The following is a 16642-nucleotide window of genomic DNA, read 5'->3' on the forward strand; positions in this document are numbered from 1 at the left end:
CCACAGAGGCCAAAGGAGGCCCCAGGTCTCAGAGCCAGTGAGGAACCACCCCAGGCCAGGGGCAGCCCCCACCAACATGGTCCTTTCGCTGGGGCCTGGAGTGGGGGTTCCCAGGTGAGGGGCTGGGAACACACCTGTCATTGTGATGGGGTCCCCAGTCCCCTCCCAGCAGGTCTGTTGGACCCTCTGGGGGCCAAGGGCAGCAGCGGCCTGTTCTGCAGCCCACTGAGGCCAGGGAGGGGTGAAGCAGGAGGGGCCTGGGAGGGGTGAAGCCTCCATGGCTGGCCAAGCACCCAGGACTTGGTTAATCCACACCTGCTCTTAGGGGTCAGGGCCACACTGCCTGACGGCTTCCAAGGCCGCTAATGGCCACATCACCTCAGGGTCCTCCCTCTGCTCTTGCTACCCTGATGCCCCTGGGGCCCCTGTGCCCTCCGGCCTCTGCCCTCGGCTCTGCCCCACATGCCTGGTGCTGTGTCGCGCCATGATCCCAGGTCAGGACTACATCCCCTGGTGACATTGGAACCGTCCAGCTCCCCTCCCTGTGGCGCGTGTGGTTACACCCCCAGGCTCAGGGGCCCCACGACGTCAGCAGAGGTCACCTGAGCCCGAGGGGACAATGGAACCTTTGCCGCCCCTGGGCCCTGACTGGATGTGTCACCGCCAGAACCCATGAGGAGGGTGCACGCTGGCAGTGGCCTGCCCTGGCGTGACCGAGCCCCACCCCCTGCAACCCAGGGCCCCCTGAAGACCTAAGCTGAGGACCCAGATACTGTTCAGGAGTCCTTGGTGCCCCAAAGAGCCCAAAAGTCAATGAATAAACAAGGTTTCCAGAGAACCCAGGAACAACGGCCACATCCCCGCCGCCCAGCCCGTAAGCACCCGTCTGCGAGGTCACAACAGCATGGACCACCAGGGAGAGGGGGACTGTGGGTGCCTGAGTATCTGGCAGTACAAGGTGCTCCCCAATATTCAAGTGAAGTGACCAGCCAGGGGCCACAGGAAAGGCATCAGAACTCCTCGGGGACACGAGAAGTTCAGGCAGGGTCAGGGCGCTTCCTGGAGACGGCGCCAAGCTGGAGCCTGGGACCCAAGGTGGAGGTTCCTGACAGCTGACCCCCCCACCTCCCTCTCCCCCTCTCTCTTCCACAGGTGAGTCCTGGGTCCTGCTGCCAGGTAGCGGACTCAAGGGGAAGGTGTGGGGGATTAAGCTGCCCCCCACTCGGACCCAGGTACAGCCACACACCCTCCATCCCCACAGCCTCCATCGTGGGGCCTGGCCAGCACACTCTCACCAGCAGCGGGGGCCTGGGGTCTGCTGAGGGCCAGTGGGCCTGCGTGTCTGTTTCAGCTAAAGAGACCTCGGACCCCGGAGGACTCGAGGCCTGCGTGTCCATGGGGCCCCCTGTGCCCCCGCCCCCTCCAGCCCGTCTCCCCTGAGTGTGTCTTTAAGACGGGGACCAGGACAACTGAATTACCAACTCCGGAAAGACCCCCAATTCCTGGTTTCCAGGAAGATGAGATTTGTGAGAGGCGGGGGTCTGCTTCCTCCCCAACGCCAGGCGCCACCGCCTCCCATGAGGGTCACTGGCCGAGAGGAGCTAGCCCTCTCCTGTCCTGTCCTCAGAGCTCAGCCCAGCATCGGAGGGGACAGCAGTGATGACCCAGGTCCTGGTCAGCGGGCACAGATCCCAGCAGCTGGGGCAGCCGGGGACCACCTGTCCCTCAAGGACCTCCCCACCTGTCCTGGCGCTGGGAAAGGCTGTGTCCAGCTCTGTCTGCGAAGGGGCCCCCGCCATAGGTGTCTCTGTCAGCTGCGGGGGGTTCCCGCAGGGCCAAGTCCAGATCTCAGTGGAGGGTGGGGAGGGGGCTGGCTGGGAGGGGAGGCTCCGCAGCGGCCGGAAGCGCTTCTGGGAACAGAGGTGGCCTCCGGCCCTTTTCTCAAAAGTCCGACCCCAGCGGGAGGTTGGGGCGGCTGCGGTTTTCCGGGCAGATGGAGGCCGCCCTGTGCGAGTGGCTCGGGCTTCCAGGGGGAGCAGAGAGGGGCCCCTCCCCGTGGAGCCGAGACCACTGCGCCCCGAGTGGGAGGGGGCGGCGGCCTCTCCGCCGCGACCCCGGCCCCTTCTCCGCACCCGGCCCCGCCCGACCCTCCGCGCCCTTGGGACCCCCCCCTCCATGGCGGGTTCGCGCTGGCCTCGGCCTCCCCCACTGAGACCCCTGGAGGCGCCCCCGCCCCCACGCGCGAGAACCCGCCCGCCTCCCCCGGGCTCCGCGACGCACGCTGGGGCCCCCGCCAGGCCCGGAGGGTCGCGCTCCAGGTAAAGCGCGCGGGGCGGGCCCGGGAGGAGCCGGAGACTCCGGAGACCCCGCCCAGAGCCCGCTCCGCCGCCCGCGGAATCCCCCGCCCGTCCGCTGTGCGTCAGCCCGGCCGCCCCCGCGCTGACGTTTCCGCGCCGAGGCCCACGCGAGGCCGCCCACGAGGAGTTTCCGCGCTGAGTCAGCCCCGCGGGACCCGCGCTACGCGGGCCGCCGGTGTTTTCTGGGGCCGGTGCGGGACAGCCCCGGTGTGGGGGGCGCGTGGGGAGAGCCGGGGCCAGGCGGGGAGGATCCGGGCTGCAGGCAGGAGTGCGCGGGGCAGGGCCCGACCGCTCAGCCTCCCCGGGGCTCACACGGGAGGAGCGCGCCGAGCCAGTACCCAGCCCCGAGCCCAGTACCCAGCCTCCAGCCCAGTACCCAGCCCCGAGCCCAGTACCCAGCCTCCAGCCCAGTACCCAGCCCCGAGCCCAGTACCCAGCCTCCAGCCCAGTACCCAGCCCCGAGCCCAGTACCCAGCCTCCAGCCCAGTACCCAGCCCCGAGCCCAGTACCCAGCCTCCAGCCCAGTACCCAGCCCCGAGCCCAGTACCCAGCCTCCAGCCCAGTACCCAGCCCCGAGCCCAGTACCCAGCCTCCAGCCCAGTACCCAGCCCCGAGCCCAGTACCCAGCCTCCAGCCCAGTACCCAGCCCCGAGCCCAGTACCCAGCCTCCAGCCCAGTACCCAGCCCCGAGCCCAGTACCCAGCCTCCAGCCCAGTACCCAGCCCCGAGCCCAGTACCCAGCCTCCAGCCCAGTACCCAGCCCCGAGCCCAGTACCCAGCCTCCAGCCCAGTACCCAGCCCCGAGCCCAGTACCCAGCCTCCAGCCCAGTACCCAGCCCCCAGCCCAGTACCCAGCCCCGAGCCCAGTACCCAGCCCCCAGCCCAGTACCCAGCCTCCAGCCCAGTACCCAGCCCCGAGCCCAGTACCCAGCCTCCAGCCCAGTACCCAGCCCCGAGCCCAGTACCCAGCCCCCAGCCCAGTACCCAGCCTCCAGCCCAGTACCCAGCCTCCAGCCCAGTACCCAGCCCCGAGCCCAGTACCCAGCCCCCAGCCCAGTACCCAGCCCCGAGCCCAGTACCCAGCCCCGAGCCCAGTACCCAGCCCCGAGCCCAGCACCCAGCCTCCAGCCCAGTACCCATCCCCGAGCCCAGTACCCAGCCTCCAGCCCAGTACCCATCCCCGAGCCCAGTACCCAGCCTCCAGCCCAGTACCCATCCCCGAGCCCAGTACCCAGCCTCCAGCCCAGTACCCAGCCCCGAGCCCAGTACCCAGCCTCTAGCCCAGTACCCAGCCTCCAGCCCAGTACCCATCCCCGAGCCCAGTACCCAGCCTCCAGCCCAGTACCCATCCCCAAGCCCAGTACCCAGCCCCGAGCCCAGTACTCCACGACGCCGAAGGGCCGGGTCCTGCCTCCAGGGCTGAGCACCTTCCCCAGTGTCCCTGTGCCACCCTTGGGCTCTCCACACTCCAGGTCCCATGTTGGGGGGGGAGGGGAGCAGACGTCCCCTCTGCCCCGTCCACCTACTGTGAGCTGGGCCCACCGCCCCACTGGGAGCTGAGCTGGGGGCCAGGTGTGCTGTGCCTCCAGGGTGCTGCTGAGACGCCTGCACCAGCCTGCCCGCCACTCCCCGGCAGCTGAGGGAGCCTGTATCAGATCTCACCTGGAGCCTGGAGTGGGAGGCTGGGCGGGCCGAGGGTGGGATGGTGAGGAGAGAGGGCTGGCCTGGAGACGGGGCCGCCCAGCACCAGAAAGTGCTGGATGGCACCCGGGGGCCGGCAGGCTGTGTGGCCAGAAACCAGAGACCCAGGGGCACCAGAGAAGAGCCCCAGAACGGGGGAAGCCGCTGAGCCTGTATCCCTGAGGAGCGCTGGGCCCAGGACTGGAATGGCCCCTCCTCGGGCCCCACCCCCACCCAGCCAGGAGTTCCCAGAATGGGCCCTGGCTGCCCTCCGCTTTGCCCCCTGTGGAGGGGACCACGGCCAGGCATGAGCACGGTGCCCCAAAGCCCAGCCCCGGGTGCCCCGTCCTCCCCCAGCACCCAGCATGCATCCACTCAGGTCACTGGACAAGTGTTTATTGAAGGTCCCCTGCAGCCGGGTCCCGTGCTGGGCACTGCACACCCACGGACACAGCCTCCCGTCCTAAGACCCCACCCCATCAGGGCCAGCAAGGGAGGAAGGGGGCCATGACTGTGTCTCTCTCTCCCTCCTGCAGGGCCCAGCCGCGGCCGCCGAACTGCATGGTCCAGGGCGCTGGTCACTGCCACCTTCCTGCACCCACTTCTGCTGCCAGGGGAGCAGGGCCCGGCCCAGAGCAGAACGCAGAGCCCCTGCGGCCTGGGGAGCTCCTGGGGAGGGGCTGGCTGCGGTCGGTGGCCCCGGAGGACGGCCAGGCTCACACCCACAGGTCTCCCAGCCGCCCCTTCTCCTCTGCCGATCGCTCGCCCCGCTCTTCCTCGGGGAACTGGCAGCTTCTGGCGTCTTCGGTCGACGGCGGCACCTCCAGCAGCAGCTGGGTCTCTGCAGGGGGGCCACGGTCAGCAGGCAGCCATGCTCCCACCTCCCCGCACCAGGCTGTGACAGACCTCGGGGCCACATGCACTGACTCCTCAGCTGCCAGATGTGCAGTCCAAGCTGGGCCGAGGTCAGGAGGAGGACGCAGGCGGCCACGGCCAGGAGGACGACGGTCAGCCACCCAAGCGGCTCTGCCGGCGGGGACCCTGGGACGCACACAGCGTTGTGGGTCTTGTTCCCAGGGAACACAGTGAGAAACCCGAACTGGGTGCAGCTGGAATACATGGACGCGGCCTCCTATCAGCCCCCGGACACGGCCTCCGATCAGCCCCCGGCTGCTGCCCTCCGTGCTGTCTGGGGCAAGGGACAGGAGAGGACCCTTCCTCAGAGTGGGCCTGGACCACCCGGCCACCGGCAGGGCCCACCCAGGACTCACTCTGTCCAAGGTTTGCAGTGGCCTTCGTGGCCCCCGGAGAAGGTCCCCGAGGCACAGTCGATACACTGGAAGCCAAAACTGAATTTCCCTGGTGTGGGGTGTGGGGGGAGGGAGGGAGGGAGGCTGGTGGAGTTGCTGGGATGGATGAGGAGGGCGTCAGGCCAGTGCAGGGGTCCATCTGGGGTCTGGGTGCTGAGTAGAATGCCCCCCCCATCATCCATTCAACAGAGTTCTTCATGGCCCAGGACTGGGGCCCATGTCTGCCCGTCCCAGGTGGGGCGTCTGGGGTGGGGCCCAGTGAGGGCACCTGGGGGAGGTGCGCAGAGTGCAGTGGGCCTGCCAGGGAGGGGAAAGGCCTGCCCATTGGGGGCTGAGGGTGGGCAGAAGCCAGGCAGGACCCAGTAGAACAGAGGGTGGAGAACAGTGAGGGTCCCAGAGAGAGTGAGGCTGGGTCCCAGTTGACCCCAGACCCTGCCCCGTCCAACCTGACACAACCTCCCCAGTTGTACCTTCTCCCAGCTCTCATGTGCCCAGCCTGACCTCTCCTGTCAGGTAAACAAGCCGCTAAGAGGACTTGAGCTGCTCCTTCCAGAACAGGGTGCAGCCCCAGGCCCCAGACAGGACTCCGGGGGGCACAGGGCAGGCTCTTTCAGTATGTGGTGAGGACAGACAGGATGGGTGTCCCGGGCCTGAGAGCCAGACAGCTCCTGGAACCCGCCCCCACCTCCCCGCAGGGTTCTCACAGCCCTCGTGCTGGATGGAGAAGCCCAGGCTGAGAAAGCAGGGACAGGACACCCCCAGAGCTTCATGGCCTGTGGTGCCTGAGCATGGCCTGGCCTGCCCGGCCTCACAGGACTCCGGACCCCACACACCACATGTCCTCGCCGGACACCTGTGCCCACGAGCTCTGCCTCGGGCCCTAGTGGAACCCCTGGCCTGTGTGGACTCCCAGAGGCACCTCCAGGACTTACCCTGGGACTGTACCCCCTGGCCTGGGGGACAAGGGTGGTGCCGGCAGGTCGTGCAGCAAGGGTCTCCGCAGTGGAATTCAGGCTGGACACACATGCAGTCCCACTCGGAACAGCACTCCTCGCCTGGGCAGGAGACAGGCCAGCCCCCCAGCAGCTGGGCTGAGGCCCCCTCCTCCCCAGGCCTCCCCTCGGCCCTCCAGGGGAGTGAGGTTGTCCGTTCTCCACCCACAGTTGGCTCCAGGGAGCAGAGGGCTCCTGGCTGGGAGTCTGGACCCTGGGTTTATCCAGCTGTCTCTTTCTCCTGGGGCCATGTGGCCTGGCTACTCCCCCTTTGCGCCCCACAGCTGCCCCTGCCCAGGTGCTAACTCCATATGCAACCAGGAGCTGCCCCTGCAGGACCCAGGGGTGGCCCCCAACAGTGCACAGTCCCCTGGAGGCCCGTCGACACCTCAGAGGCCGCCTGCCTGGTGTCTGGGCGCTGCTGTCCCCACCACCAGCCACACTGGGCCTCCGGACAGAGCCTCCCTTCCCAACCCACAGGCCCTGGAGGAAGAAGCTCTGGGGTGACTTCCCTGCCAGCTTCCTCTCCAGACCAGCCGTGTCAGCTGAACCCTCATCCCCAGGTGCAGGTCAGAGGCAGGCAGCAGGCCAGACGGTGGTGCAGGGGGGCCCTCAACTGGGCAGGAGGGGGCTGGGCGATGGCCAAGGGCTCACGACCCGCCCAGCAGGACCTGGAACAGCCGTCCTCCACCTCCAGACCCCAGACCCCTCTTGAGGGCGCTCCCACCTGGCTCACCCCTGCTCCCGGCCGGGGCCACTGGCTGGAGCTGGCACACCTCCGCCTCCCTCTGGGATCCTGCCTCCCTCCGGAAGGCTCCCGCTGCTGGCGGCTCTGTGCCCACCCTCCTTAGACCTCAGCAACGCCGGTCTGAGCACGGGAAGGGGGGCGCCCACCCATCCCGGCTTCCGCGGGACGCCTTGGCCGGTCCGCGTTAAGTAAACGCGGTTTACTTACCCGGGTAATCGCGGCAGCAGCGCGTCGTGTGAACCCGGCAGCAGCGCGCGTCCGTTCCCGTCCCAAGCAGGAGGCGCCCAGGGCCGCACCCGGGACCCCCGGTGGGGCGCTGACCCAGGCTGAGCGCGCACAGCAGCGCCAGGCCGCACAGGGCCCGAAACGCGCCCATCGCCCCGTGCTGTGCCATGCTCGGGTTTCAAGAGCCCACAGCCAGTTGGACACGCCCCGTCCCCGTCCTCACCCGCCCTGCCCGGAGGTGGCTGGGACCGTTCATGACCTGAGAATCCCGACCCAGGTGAAGTGCGTGTGAGGAGGGGGTGTAGACACTGCGGACACAGCCCGGTCCCCCGCAGGTCGCCGGCAGGGGCGGGGAAACCAGGCTGGCGGGGATCAGAAAGGTTTTCTATGCAAAGTCTGCGGCCACATTGGTGTCCCCAGTGCAGGGGGCGGCGTTTATAGCACCTTGTCCCATGGGGGCCCCTTGGAGGGCGGGGGTCAGCCAATCACTCCTCCATCCCACTGCCTCCGGGTGGTATCTGCGAGTCCCCGAGAGGTCTCCACAAATTCTGGCCACCCCCAGAGAGCCTCAACCATGGAGCCCCGTGCTGGGGAACCCCACAGAATGGGGACAGGGACCCCTCGGCTCAGCACACCCCACCTGGCTGGCTTCAGGTGTGAAACTCACCATGGGCTGCAGGCCTGTGGGCTCCCCTCCCCCTTGCTTGCAGCTCTCCAGGACCCCCCTCAGGCCAACCTGGGAAGTTCCCCGGGGCTTGGGAGGGGCACCAGGAGGAGCTGGTGGGGAGACGAGAGGGTGCTGGCGCCTCCTCGGGACAGTGTCAGCCGCCCCCGCGGGCACCCAGGGCCCGGTCTCTCAGAGCCACCTTCATCCGTCACACCAGACAGATCCAGGTCCCGGAGGGAGTTGAGGAGGAGCCCCTCGCAGAGCTCTTGGGAGACTGTCCTATGTCTTTCTGAGCCTCAGTTTCCCCTGTGGGCACCGAGGGGTTCTGGGACCCTGCCTCCACCAGGAAGCCTCCCTGGATTGCCCAGCCCTGCTTCTGCGCCGTCCAGCACAGGTGGAGACCCCCATGAATGCTGGGGGTGGGGGCTCTCGGGAACGTGAGCGTGGATGTGGTTCAACACCCTTTTGAGACCTGCAGCCACCGCCTCACCCCGTAAGGCGGTTCCTCCTTTTCCAAGGTAAATGACAGGAATTAGCTGTTTGTGACACCCCGGAGTTCTCAAATCCAAGATGTAGGAGCCTGCCTTGGAGAGGCAGCCCTCAGACACTGCAGAGAAGGAAGGGGTCTCTGCAGCTCCAGGCCGCCCCGACGCTCGGAAGGAAAGGGGTGGGGCCAGCTGGGCCTGGGGGCCTTTGAGAGGCCTGGAGATCTTCAGCCCCGAGGCTGGGAGGGGGTCTGGGCCCCTGGATAGAAAGAGGCGCCATCAGTGGCTCACGCCCGTAATCCCAGCATTTTGGGAGGCCGAGGTGGGCCTCGGATCACCTGAGGTCAGGGGTTCGAGACCAGCCTGACCCACATGGAGAAAGCCCGTCTCTACTAAAAATACAAAAAAAATTAGCCAGGCGTGGTGGCGCACGCCTGTAATCCCAGCTACTCGGGAGGCTGAGGCAGGAGAATTGCTTGAACCTGGGAGGCAGAGGTTGCGGCGAACCAAGATGGCACCATTGCACTCCAGCCTGGGTGACAGAGCGAGACTCCATCACAAAAAATAAAGAATGCTCATCAGACCACACGGTGTGAGTCATCCATCTAGAGGCAGGGACAGAGTTAGAGGAGCGAGCAGTTTATGGGGCCAAGTGGGAGGCGGCCAGCGGGCAGAGGAGCCCCTCCCCCCCGCCCCGTGGCGCAGCTGACACTTTGAACAGCCGGAGAGCAGCTTGCCACACAGGGTGGTCCCCGGAGGGGCTGCAGGGGTGTGACGTCCACCCTCCCATCCCTCTCGCCGCAGAAGGCCCCTCCCCGGCTCCCCGTGACTCCTATCCTTGGGCTGCGAGGCTGGAGGTGACTTGTTCATCTTATTGAGCAGCTCACCGGTGACACAAATGACGGGGCATTCACACAGCAGAGCAGCCCACGGGCCGGGCGAGGGACAGCCCTTGCGTACGTCCAGAAGGGCAGCTGTGAGGCCCCACGGGGAGGGTGCAGATGGGCACTGAGCCAGAGTTCAGGCAGGGCCTTCGGCACAGATGGCACAGGAGTTGCCAGCAGAGATGGCGTCAGGCGAGGGGGCGGGGAGGGTGAGCATGGAGACCAAGAGGAGGTGGCCCCGTGTCCATCTGGGGGTGCGGCAAGGGGTCCTGCTGGGGAATAAGTCCCACGGGGCCTGGGGGGTGCTGTGCCCAGAGGGGAGGAGACAGGAAGCGATGGGTATGGGCGCCAGGTTTGGGGAGGAGGCCCCTTTCCCATAGCCGTCGACCTGCGGGCCCCACAGGATCTGGCCGCTCCAGTCCCGGCCACCTGACCCCTTCCCCCACCCACCCGCCATCCTGCCTGGAGGTCTGGCCTCGCCTGCCCCACGGGGCGGGGGGCGGGGGGCTCTCAGAGGCGCGGCCCCAACCCTGTGCAGGGCCTGCAGGCTGAACCGTGTGCAGGAACCCGGGGAACTCGGTGAAGGTGCTGGATGGGGGACAGGACGGCCTCTGACTTCCCTATGCTGCGGGGGGGGAGGCTTGTGGTTAGCAGAGAGTGGGTGGAAGACAGAGGTTTGAGGAGAGAGAGACCCAGGGGAGAAAACCAGCTGCAGAGGCAGGAGGGGTCCAGGGCAGCCCGAGGCCAGAGATGGGCGTCTTCCTTACAGCCACCTGTGGTCCCGGCACCTTGGGCTGTTGTGAGTGGCGCGTGGCGCTCCCACTGTGCACCCCCGGGGCCGGTTCCCCACTTCCACGACACCGGCAGGGGGGAGCCATCCGCCAGGCACAGGAGGCCTGGACAGCCGTGGGCAGCGTGCGCTGTTGGAGGACGCAGGGAGAGGGAAGGCTGGCCCAGGGACGCTGTGTGGGGCAGCGGGTGCAGCTGCGGGGCTGGGCCACACCAGCCACGGTAGCCGGAGTGTCCAGGCTGTGCCAGGCCCTCAGCAAAACCTTCCATGAGGCTTCATGTGTTTCTTCTTAAGTAATTTTTTTAAATTTCTTTTTTTTTTTCCAGTCACGTCTCACTGCAGCCTCCATCTCTTGGGCTCAAGTGATCCTCCCACCTCGGCCTCCCAAGTAGCCGGGACCACAGGCATGCACCACCACACCCGGCTGATTTTTTCTATTTTTCATAGAAAAGGGTCTTGCCATGTTACCCAGGCGGGTCTCAAACTCCTGAGCTCAGACGATCGTCTGGCCTCAGCCTCCCAAAGTGCTAGGATTCTAGGCGTGAGCCACCGTGACCGGCCTCGGCTGTGTGTTTCTTGCTCATGAGTGCAGTGAGGGCCAGGCGTGGTGGCTCACACCTGGAATCGCAGTACTCCAGGGCACCGAGGCAGGTGGATCACCTGAGGTCAGGAGTTCAAGACCAGCTTAGCCAACATGGTGAAACCCTGTCTCTAATAAAATACAAAAATTAGCCGGGTGTGGTGCTGGGCGCCTGTAGTCCCAGCTACTTGGGAGGCTGAGGCAGGAGAATGGCGTGAACCCGGGAGGCAGAGGTTGGTGAGCTGAGATCACACCACTGCACTCCAGCCTGGGTGACACAGCAAGACTCCGGCAAAAAAAAAAAAAGAAAGAAAAAACAAGTGCAGTGAGACGTCTTAGCCCTCGGGAGTGTTTCTCTTCAGCCCCTGACACCATGGAGGCGAACAGGCACCTCCGCCTCCCGAGGGACACAGATGTCGCTTAGACGCCCGGGGTGTCTTCCCTGCGGGAAGCCTGCAGGGCTGCTCCCGCCTTGTTCCCGAGCTGTGGCCTCGGGCGTGACTGGCGCTCGGGAGCAGGCTCTGTGCTGCTCGAAGGATACCCCACTCCCAGACACCAGCTTGAGAAGATTCCCGCACGGCCGGGGACGGCCCCAGGGCCTTGGGAGCGTCTGTGGACACCTGTGGTGTGGGCCGAGGAGCTGGGAGCTCATCTGAACACGCCAGCACTCGCGCATCCACGCTGCTGGCGGATGCCTGGGTTTCTCCACTGTGGGGCCACGTTACATGAAGTCGCTGTGGTCATTCTCATTCAGATCCCAGGACTCTTAAGTGCGCAGGAGTGGGACGGCCGGGGCCCAGGGTGGACAGAAAGTTGGCTCAAGCAGAAACTGTGGTTTCCAAGGTGACTGTCCCCCTGGACACCTATGGCAGGGACATAGGGGCCGTGTGGGCCCTTTGCAGGGACTCCTCGGGGTGCTCAGGGGCCCTGGGACCCCCTTCCAGGTGCAGCAAGGGGTGGGCGTAGGTGTGGAGGGGAAGAGGGGCAGGTCTCTACACTCCTCCTCCAAGGACACAGAGCCCCGGGGGTCAGCCACTCCCAAGCTCCTTGGGCAACCCGGGGCTCAGGGGCCAGCTGCCCTTGTCAGCGCCTGGCCAGGAACCTCCACCCCAGGCAGCCTTGGGCCTGAGCTTTCCCAGTCTCTCCCCCCGCTCCCCACTCAATCTGGAACTCGCACCCAGGGACCAACCTCCAGGGTCCCACTTGACCCCGCTACCCTCACCTCCACCCTGGCCCAAGACCCCTCTCCAGCCACAGGTTGGCACAGCCCAAGTCTCCCAAGACCCCTCTCCAGCCACAGGTTGGCACGGCCCAAGTCTCCCAAGACCCCTTTCCAGCCACAGGTTGGCACGGCCCAAGTCTCCCAAGACCCCTCTCCAGCCAGAGGCGGGCACGGCCCAAGCCTCCCAAGACCCCTGTCCAGCCAGAGGCGGGCACGGCCCAAGCCTCCCAAGACCCCTCTCCAGTCAGAGGCGGGCACGGCCCAAGCCTCCATGCCACAGGTGTGCAGCCCACAGTGCCGGTCGGAGACTCCCGTCTGCCAAGGTTTTTATTGTGGTCCCGCGGGGCAGGAGGTATGCATGGCATACGTAAGCAGAGAGCCGGAGGCAGCCATCGGCACCTAGAACGGTGCAGAGTTGGCCCAGGAGCGTGGCGGGGCAGGCGGCCTGCACCTGCCCTGCTCGCCCAGCAGACCCTCCGGGCTCCAGCCTGGCGGGGCCCAGCGTCCACCTTGGTGGGCCCAGGTCAGATCTTGGCCAGGGTGGAGTGGGCGTCGGCCTGCTCCTCTTGGATGGGGGTCCGGAAACTGCCTCCCCCTGGGGAGGAAAAAAGGAGAGATTGGTGGGTGGGCCTCACCCGCCAGGAGCAGTGCGGCAGGGCCATGAGGCACTCACCAGGGGGCTTGTGGGCATCGGGGGGCAGCCTCTGGTCCCTCCGGAGCAGGTACAGGGCCAGCAGGATGGCCAGGGGGCCCAGCAGCCCCAGCACCAGGCCCAGGCCCAGGATGGCGGCAACCGCACGGCCTGCAGGAAGGGGTCTGCTGGGTGGGGTCCACAGGAGGGGCCCCCATGCCGCCCTCCCCTTCTCCTATTCGGGTTGGGGGCCCCGCTGGGCTGGGCCAGGCGCCCTTACCCCCGGGGACCTCCACGGGCCGGGTGGAGGGTCCCTGTGAGGTTCTGGGCCAGGCTTCAGTGGGCTGGACAGTGATGGGCCTGGCCGGGGGGCCCTGGGTCTCCTGGGGCTGCGTGGCTGGGGGGTCCCTGTCCTCACAGATTGCGTCCGAGCTATTGCTGGCCGGCTGCAGGGTGTGCTTCCCAGCCAAGGTGCAGCTGTTGGGGAACAGGAGGTGTTGCTCAGGCCAGAAACCCCCTGGGACCCGGGAGATGCGGTGGGGATAACAGGGTCCACGCTGGCCAGCCACAGGCAGCATCTACCACAGACACCAGGCCAGTGACAGCCAAGGACGCTGCCCAGCCCCACGTGCCCCCCACAGGGGCCTCCAAGGCCACACACCCTTCTCCCACATCTACACCCCCCACCAGCACCTCCCTGTCCTGTGCCCCCAGGGCCTCCCAGCTGCGGAGGGTGAGGGTCCCACACACCCAGCTCCACCCACAGGGAAAGGCTGCCCCCAGGCAGCAGCTTCCTGCTCCCCAACCAGGTCCAGCCACATAGCCAGGCCCCCAGGGCCACCAGCACCTCCCCTTCCCCCAAAACTGCCCCCACCCCACCTGCCCCCCCAGCCCCTCCCAGCTCCCCAGCTCCTCCGCCCTCCTAACCACCCCAACCCCCCCCCAGCCCCTCCCAGCCCCTGGCCAGGCCCCTCACTTGGTCCAGGGCTTGCAGGCCTGGTTGTCGCCTGGGGAGAAGTGCCCTGGAGGGCAGGGGGCACAGTCTGCAACAAAGATAGGGTGGTCAGGGGCTGCCCACAGGCCCCGGGTGCTGGGGACATGGGGCAGAGCCTGTGGGGCAGGCACTTGCCCCCCATGGCTGGGTGGTGGGTTTGGCCTCTGGAAGCCCTCCCTGCCCACATCCCACCCGTGGGCCCTGACCCGGGAGCTCGGTCTTGAGGATGCCAGAGGAGGCACCGGTGGGGCCAGGTCCCTGCGGCCCACGGCCCATCTGCGTCACAGACAGCCGCTATGCACACCCCCAACCGCCGGCCGCAGCCACCGAGCTCACCAACTCCAGGCTTGTAGCTGTCCAGGGGCTGGGTGCCCGCCCGGCAGCGGCAGACTGTGTCCTGTGTGGCCGTGCACAGCTGCTTCCGCTCACTCCCACTTCCTGAGCAGGGGCCGGATGGGGGGGTGGTCAGGTGGGGGCTGTGGACAGGGTCCTCAGGAAGCGTGGGCACTGGAGGACAGGTTGGCCTCCCCACCACACAGAGGGCCGTGGGCAGGGGTCTGCGGCCTCCCCTGAGACTTGGAGCCCCTGCAGCCCCCGAGGCTCCTGGGCCCTCCCTTCCTGGCCACAACCTGGGGCTGGTTCCGTGGCAGCCCCAGCCACCCTTCCCTACCCCTCCACCGCCTCCAGCCGCCAGCCCCGCCTGCGGCAGGGTCTCCATGGCCCAACCCCCCAGCCTCACTGCTCAGGCCAGCAAGGCCAGGCCACATGGCCAGCGTGGTCTCCCCGACTCCACGTGGCCTGGGCCGAGTCTGGGCCCCCGGAGGGAGAGGGGGTGCCCCTGGGAGACGCCTCAGCTCCTCGAAGGACCCCTGTGGCGGAGCAGACCCCGCTGTGGTTTGAGGTTCGTTTCTGCGGCTGTGGGAGCCCCATGCTGCTGCGTGGGAATGTGGGTGCCAGGCTGCCGCCCCCTGTGCTGGGTGGGGCTGTGGGGCCAGGTGGGAGCTCACTGAGGTTACACCACGTGCAGGGCTTGCACGGCTTGGAGCTGACCACGTCGTTGTAGAAGCCCGGCCCGCACGGACGGCACACCGTGTTCTGGGAGCGGCTGCAGCGGCTCACCATCCCGTTGCCTGCAGCAGAGGCCGGCGTCAGGCAGCGGTCAGGCCCCAGGCTTGCGCCCGTGGACCCCCCCAGGCGGCTCCTCTGCCAGGCTTGGCCGGCCCCTCACCCGCCCCCTCCCCAGGACCAGCCTCCTGGCTGGCCCATCCCTGCCCCAGCCCCCAGTCCCTGGAGTGCCCGTGCGTGGCGACCCCTCCTGAGGCCTCACCTGGCCTGCACTCGTGGCAGCACCGGTCGTTGCTGGGGTAGGTGTCCCCGACACAGTGGAGCCCCGTCACGGTGCTCAGCCCCAGGCCCAGGAGGAGCAGAGCCGCACACGGCCCGCGGCCCAGCCGCCGAGCCCCCACGCACATCCTCGTCTCTGCTGTCGCCAGAGTCTGGGTTTTCCTTGCGGGGTGTGGCTATAAGGACTGTGGAGGAGGGGAGGGGAGAGGGGAGGAGGGCAGAGGAGGCGGGAGGAGGAAGGTGGCAGGCCGGGGACCCTGGCTGTGGGCTGGGCACAAAGGCGGGGTCTGGGCACCCCCAGCATTGGCTTATTCTGCCTTCTGACCTCTTCTGCCCAAGACCACCGTGTTCAGACCCCAGGGCACAGTAGGGCCTGGCCTGCGGCTCGACCCTCAGCAAAAAGGTCCATGGAGCACGTGGGTAAACTGAGGCAGCACTGAGTCAGGAGAGGCAACTCCTCAGTCTGGACCTTCAGGGCTGTGGCACTGCTGAAGCATGGTCCCCCTTGTATGCCCAAGACTAGCTCTGAGCAGCAGTGACCACAGCCATGGTAAGACAGACACCCATGGCCAGGCACGGTGGCTCCCGCCTGTAATCCCAGCACTTTGGGAGGCCAAGGCGGGTGGATCACCTGAGGTCAGGAGTTCAAGACCAGTCTGGCTAACATGGCGAAATCCCGTCTCTACTAAAACTACAAAAATTATTCGGGCGTGGTGGCGGGCGCCGGTAATCCCAGCTAGTCAGGAGGCTGAGGTAGCAGAATCACTCGAACCCAGGAGACAGAAGTTGCAAAGCAGAGGTGGCGCCACTGCACTCCAGCCTGGGCGACAGGGCGAGACTCATCTCAAAAAAAAAAAAAAAGACACCCGTGACCACAGCCCACGCTGAGTGTGCCTGAGCACGGCAGGTGTCTATGGCTGAACTGTGCCCCTTAAATTCCTGCGTGGAAGCCCTAACCCCCATGTGGCAGTGTTTGGAGACAGGCCTCTGAGGAGGTGGTGAGGGTGGGTCCTGGATGGCCTGGCGCACACGGGCACGCAGGCAGGTTTCCACCTTCTATGCAAACAGTTCTCAGGTTCCAGGTTTGCCCAGAGGATGCGAACTGCCCGGAGAGCTGGGGAGCAGGTGCGGGGCTGGGGGCTCCCTGGGCCCTTTCTGCACCTTTCAAATAACTGTGACCAGCCTGTGATTATCCAAAAGTTCATTTTTGAAGTTGCAAGTGGAGAGGGGCCTCTAGGAACAGAGCAGCAGGGAAGGGGCTGGAAATCCCCTCCTCCCAGGAGCACAGGAAACAGCTGCCTGTCCTCGGCCCACCCGTGGGGAAATTCCCAGCCGTGGAGCCCGCTGGCCCTGGAGAGGGAGGGAGTGGAGGGAGAGGCCACCCGCCCTCGGACTGAGGGTCCCTAAGTTGGTCACCCTCCCCACGTCCCCACAAGTAGAGAGGACCCTGGAAGGGCTCAGAGCATCCCAGACAGTGTGTGTACCTGCATGTGCACACCCCAACCCAGGTGGGCAGAGGAGGAAAGTTCTGGCATTTTGTGGAAGGTTCCACCCAGCGTTCACAAGGGTTTCCCACTGACAGTGAGAAAAAGCTTACATTTGCAATTGGTTCCTTGGAGGTTCAGGTGAACTGGGGGTCTTGGTGGGCAACACTGCTCTCCTGGGGCCTAAGTGGCCACATCTGCCCACAGGTGCAGTGAGTGGGGCCCGTGCACCATGGAGAGGGCACCCCC

At 66.6% G+C, this 16642-nt stretch overlaps 2 protein-coding genes across 10 annotated transcripts, besides 6 other annotated features; both read right to left on the reverse strand.

Moving 5' to 3' along the window:
* Positions 2264–2723: a silencer, noted in NCBI's record as "silent region_44". NCBI's record gives its function as "represses an Ori minimal core promoter by ATAC-STARR-seq in GM12878 lymphoblastoid cells {active_cell/tissue: GM12878}" and the evidence as "EXISTENCE:reporter gene assay evidence [ECO:0000049][PMID:35858748]".
* On the reverse strand, positions 4418–7502 carry TNFRSF18 (TNF receptor superfamily member 18). Of its 4 annotated transcripts, none has more exons than NM_148902.2 (5): positions 7295–7502; positions 6280–6402; positions 5309–5396; positions 4965–5146; positions 4418–4878 (listed from the first exon to the last, which is right to left on the reverse strand). In NM_148902.2, the coding sequence occupies exons 1-5, from the start codon at positions 7479–7481 to the stop codon at positions 4754–4756; spliced, it is 705 nt and encodes a 234-aa protein (NP_683700.1). In that variant the 5' UTR covers positions 7482–7502; the 3' UTR covers positions 4418–4753. The 4 variants fall into 4 exon arrangements, with proteins under 4 accessions (NP_683700.1, NP_004186.1, NP_683699.1 ...); NM_004195.3 differs by having other exon boundaries at positions 4944–5146; NM_148901.2 differs by lacking the exon at positions 4965–5146 and having other exon boundaries at positions 4418–4870.
* Positions 6085–6285: a silencer, noted in NCBI's record as "peak6 fragment used in MPRA reporter construct". NCBI's record gives its function as "represses an SCP1 promoter by STARR-seq MPRAs in K562 erythroleukemia cells {active_cell/tissue: K562}" and the evidence as "EXISTENCE:reporter gene assay evidence [ECO:0000049][PMID:32103011]".
* Positions 9082–9961: an enhancer, noted in NCBI's record as "H3K4me1 hESC enhancer chr1:1143552-1144431 (GRCh37/hg19 assembly coordinates)". NCBI's record gives its function as "activates a minimal SCP1, AML or CMV promoter by ChIP-STARR-seq in primed H9 embryonic stem cells {active_cell/tissue: H9 hESC(primed)}" and the evidence as "EXISTENCE:reporter gene assay evidence [ECO:0000049][PMID:30033119]".
* Positions 9158–9247: a silencer, noted in NCBI's record as "silent region_45". NCBI's record gives its function as "represses an Ori minimal core promoter by ATAC-STARR-seq in GM12878 lymphoblastoid cells {active_cell/tissue: GM12878}" and the evidence as "EXISTENCE:reporter gene assay evidence [ECO:0000049][PMID:35858748]".
* Positions 9828–9937: a silencer, noted in NCBI's record as "silent region_46". NCBI's record gives its function as "represses an Ori minimal core promoter by ATAC-STARR-seq in GM12878 lymphoblastoid cells {active_cell/tissue: GM12878}" and the evidence as "EXISTENCE:reporter gene assay evidence [ECO:0000049][PMID:35858748]".
* On the reverse strand, positions 12250–15063 carry TNFRSF4 (TNF receptor superfamily member 4). Of its 6 annotated transcripts, NM_003327.4 has the most exons (7): positions 14893–15063; positions 14573–14695; positions 13902–14003; positions 13548–13614; positions 12852–13048; positions 12614–12742; positions 12250–12535 (listed from the first exon to the last, which is right to left on the reverse strand). In NM_003327.4, the coding sequence occupies exons 1-7, from the start codon at positions 15035–15037 to the stop codon at positions 12465–12467; spliced, it is 834 nt and encodes a 277-aa protein (NP_003318.1). In that variant the 5' UTR covers positions 15038–15063; the 3' UTR covers positions 12250–12464. The 6 variants fall into 6 exon arrangements, 5 of the variants coding, with proteins under 5 accessions (NP_003318.1, NP_001397638.1, XP_011540378.1 ...); NM_001410709.1 differs by having other exon boundaries at positions 12250–12742; XM_011542076.3 differs by lacking the exon at positions 14893–15063 and having other exon boundaries at positions 13902–14660.
* Positions 14141–14190: a silencer, noted in NCBI's record as "silent region_47". NCBI's record gives its function as "represses an Ori minimal core promoter by ATAC-STARR-seq in GM12878 lymphoblastoid cells {active_cell/tissue: GM12878}" and the evidence as "EXISTENCE:reporter gene assay evidence [ECO:0000049][PMID:35858748]".

Source organism: Homo sapiens, chromosome 1 (genome assembly GCF_000001405.40).
Source record: "Homo sapiens chromosome 1, GRCh38.p14 Primary Assembly".
NCBI lineage: Eukaryota > Metazoa > Chordata > Mammalia > Primates > Hominidae > Homo > Homo sapiens.

Bases quoted from the DNA above. Each gene is read 5' to 3' on its own strand.
- TNFRSF18 (XM_017002722.3), bottom strand. From the start codon at position 7,481: ATGGCACAGCACGGGGCGATGGGCGCGTTTCGGGCCCTGTGCGGCCTG. The intron at 5,397-6,279 runs GTAAGTCCTGGA...ACCCCACACCAG, and splicing joins CCAGGGGGTACAGTCCCAGG to GGAAATTCAGTTTTGGCTTC. The intron at 5,147-5,308 runs GTGAGTCCTGGG...CATGTATTCCAG, and splicing joins CACTGCAAACCTTGGACAGA to CTGCACCCAGTTCGGGTTTC.
- TNFRSF4 (XM_011542074.3), bottom strand. From the start codon at position 14,283: ATGGAGACCCTGCCGCAGGCGGGGCTGGCGGCTGGAGGCGGTGGAGGG. The intron at 13,615-13,901 runs GTGAGCTCGGTG...TCTTTGTTGCAG, and splicing joins CAGCTACAAGCCTGGAGTTG to ACTGTGCCCCCTGCCCTCCA. The intron at 12,743-12,851 runs GTAAGGGCGCCT...CCCTTCCTGCAG, and splicing joins GCCCGTGGAGGTCCCCGGGG to GCCGTGCGGTTGCCGCCATC.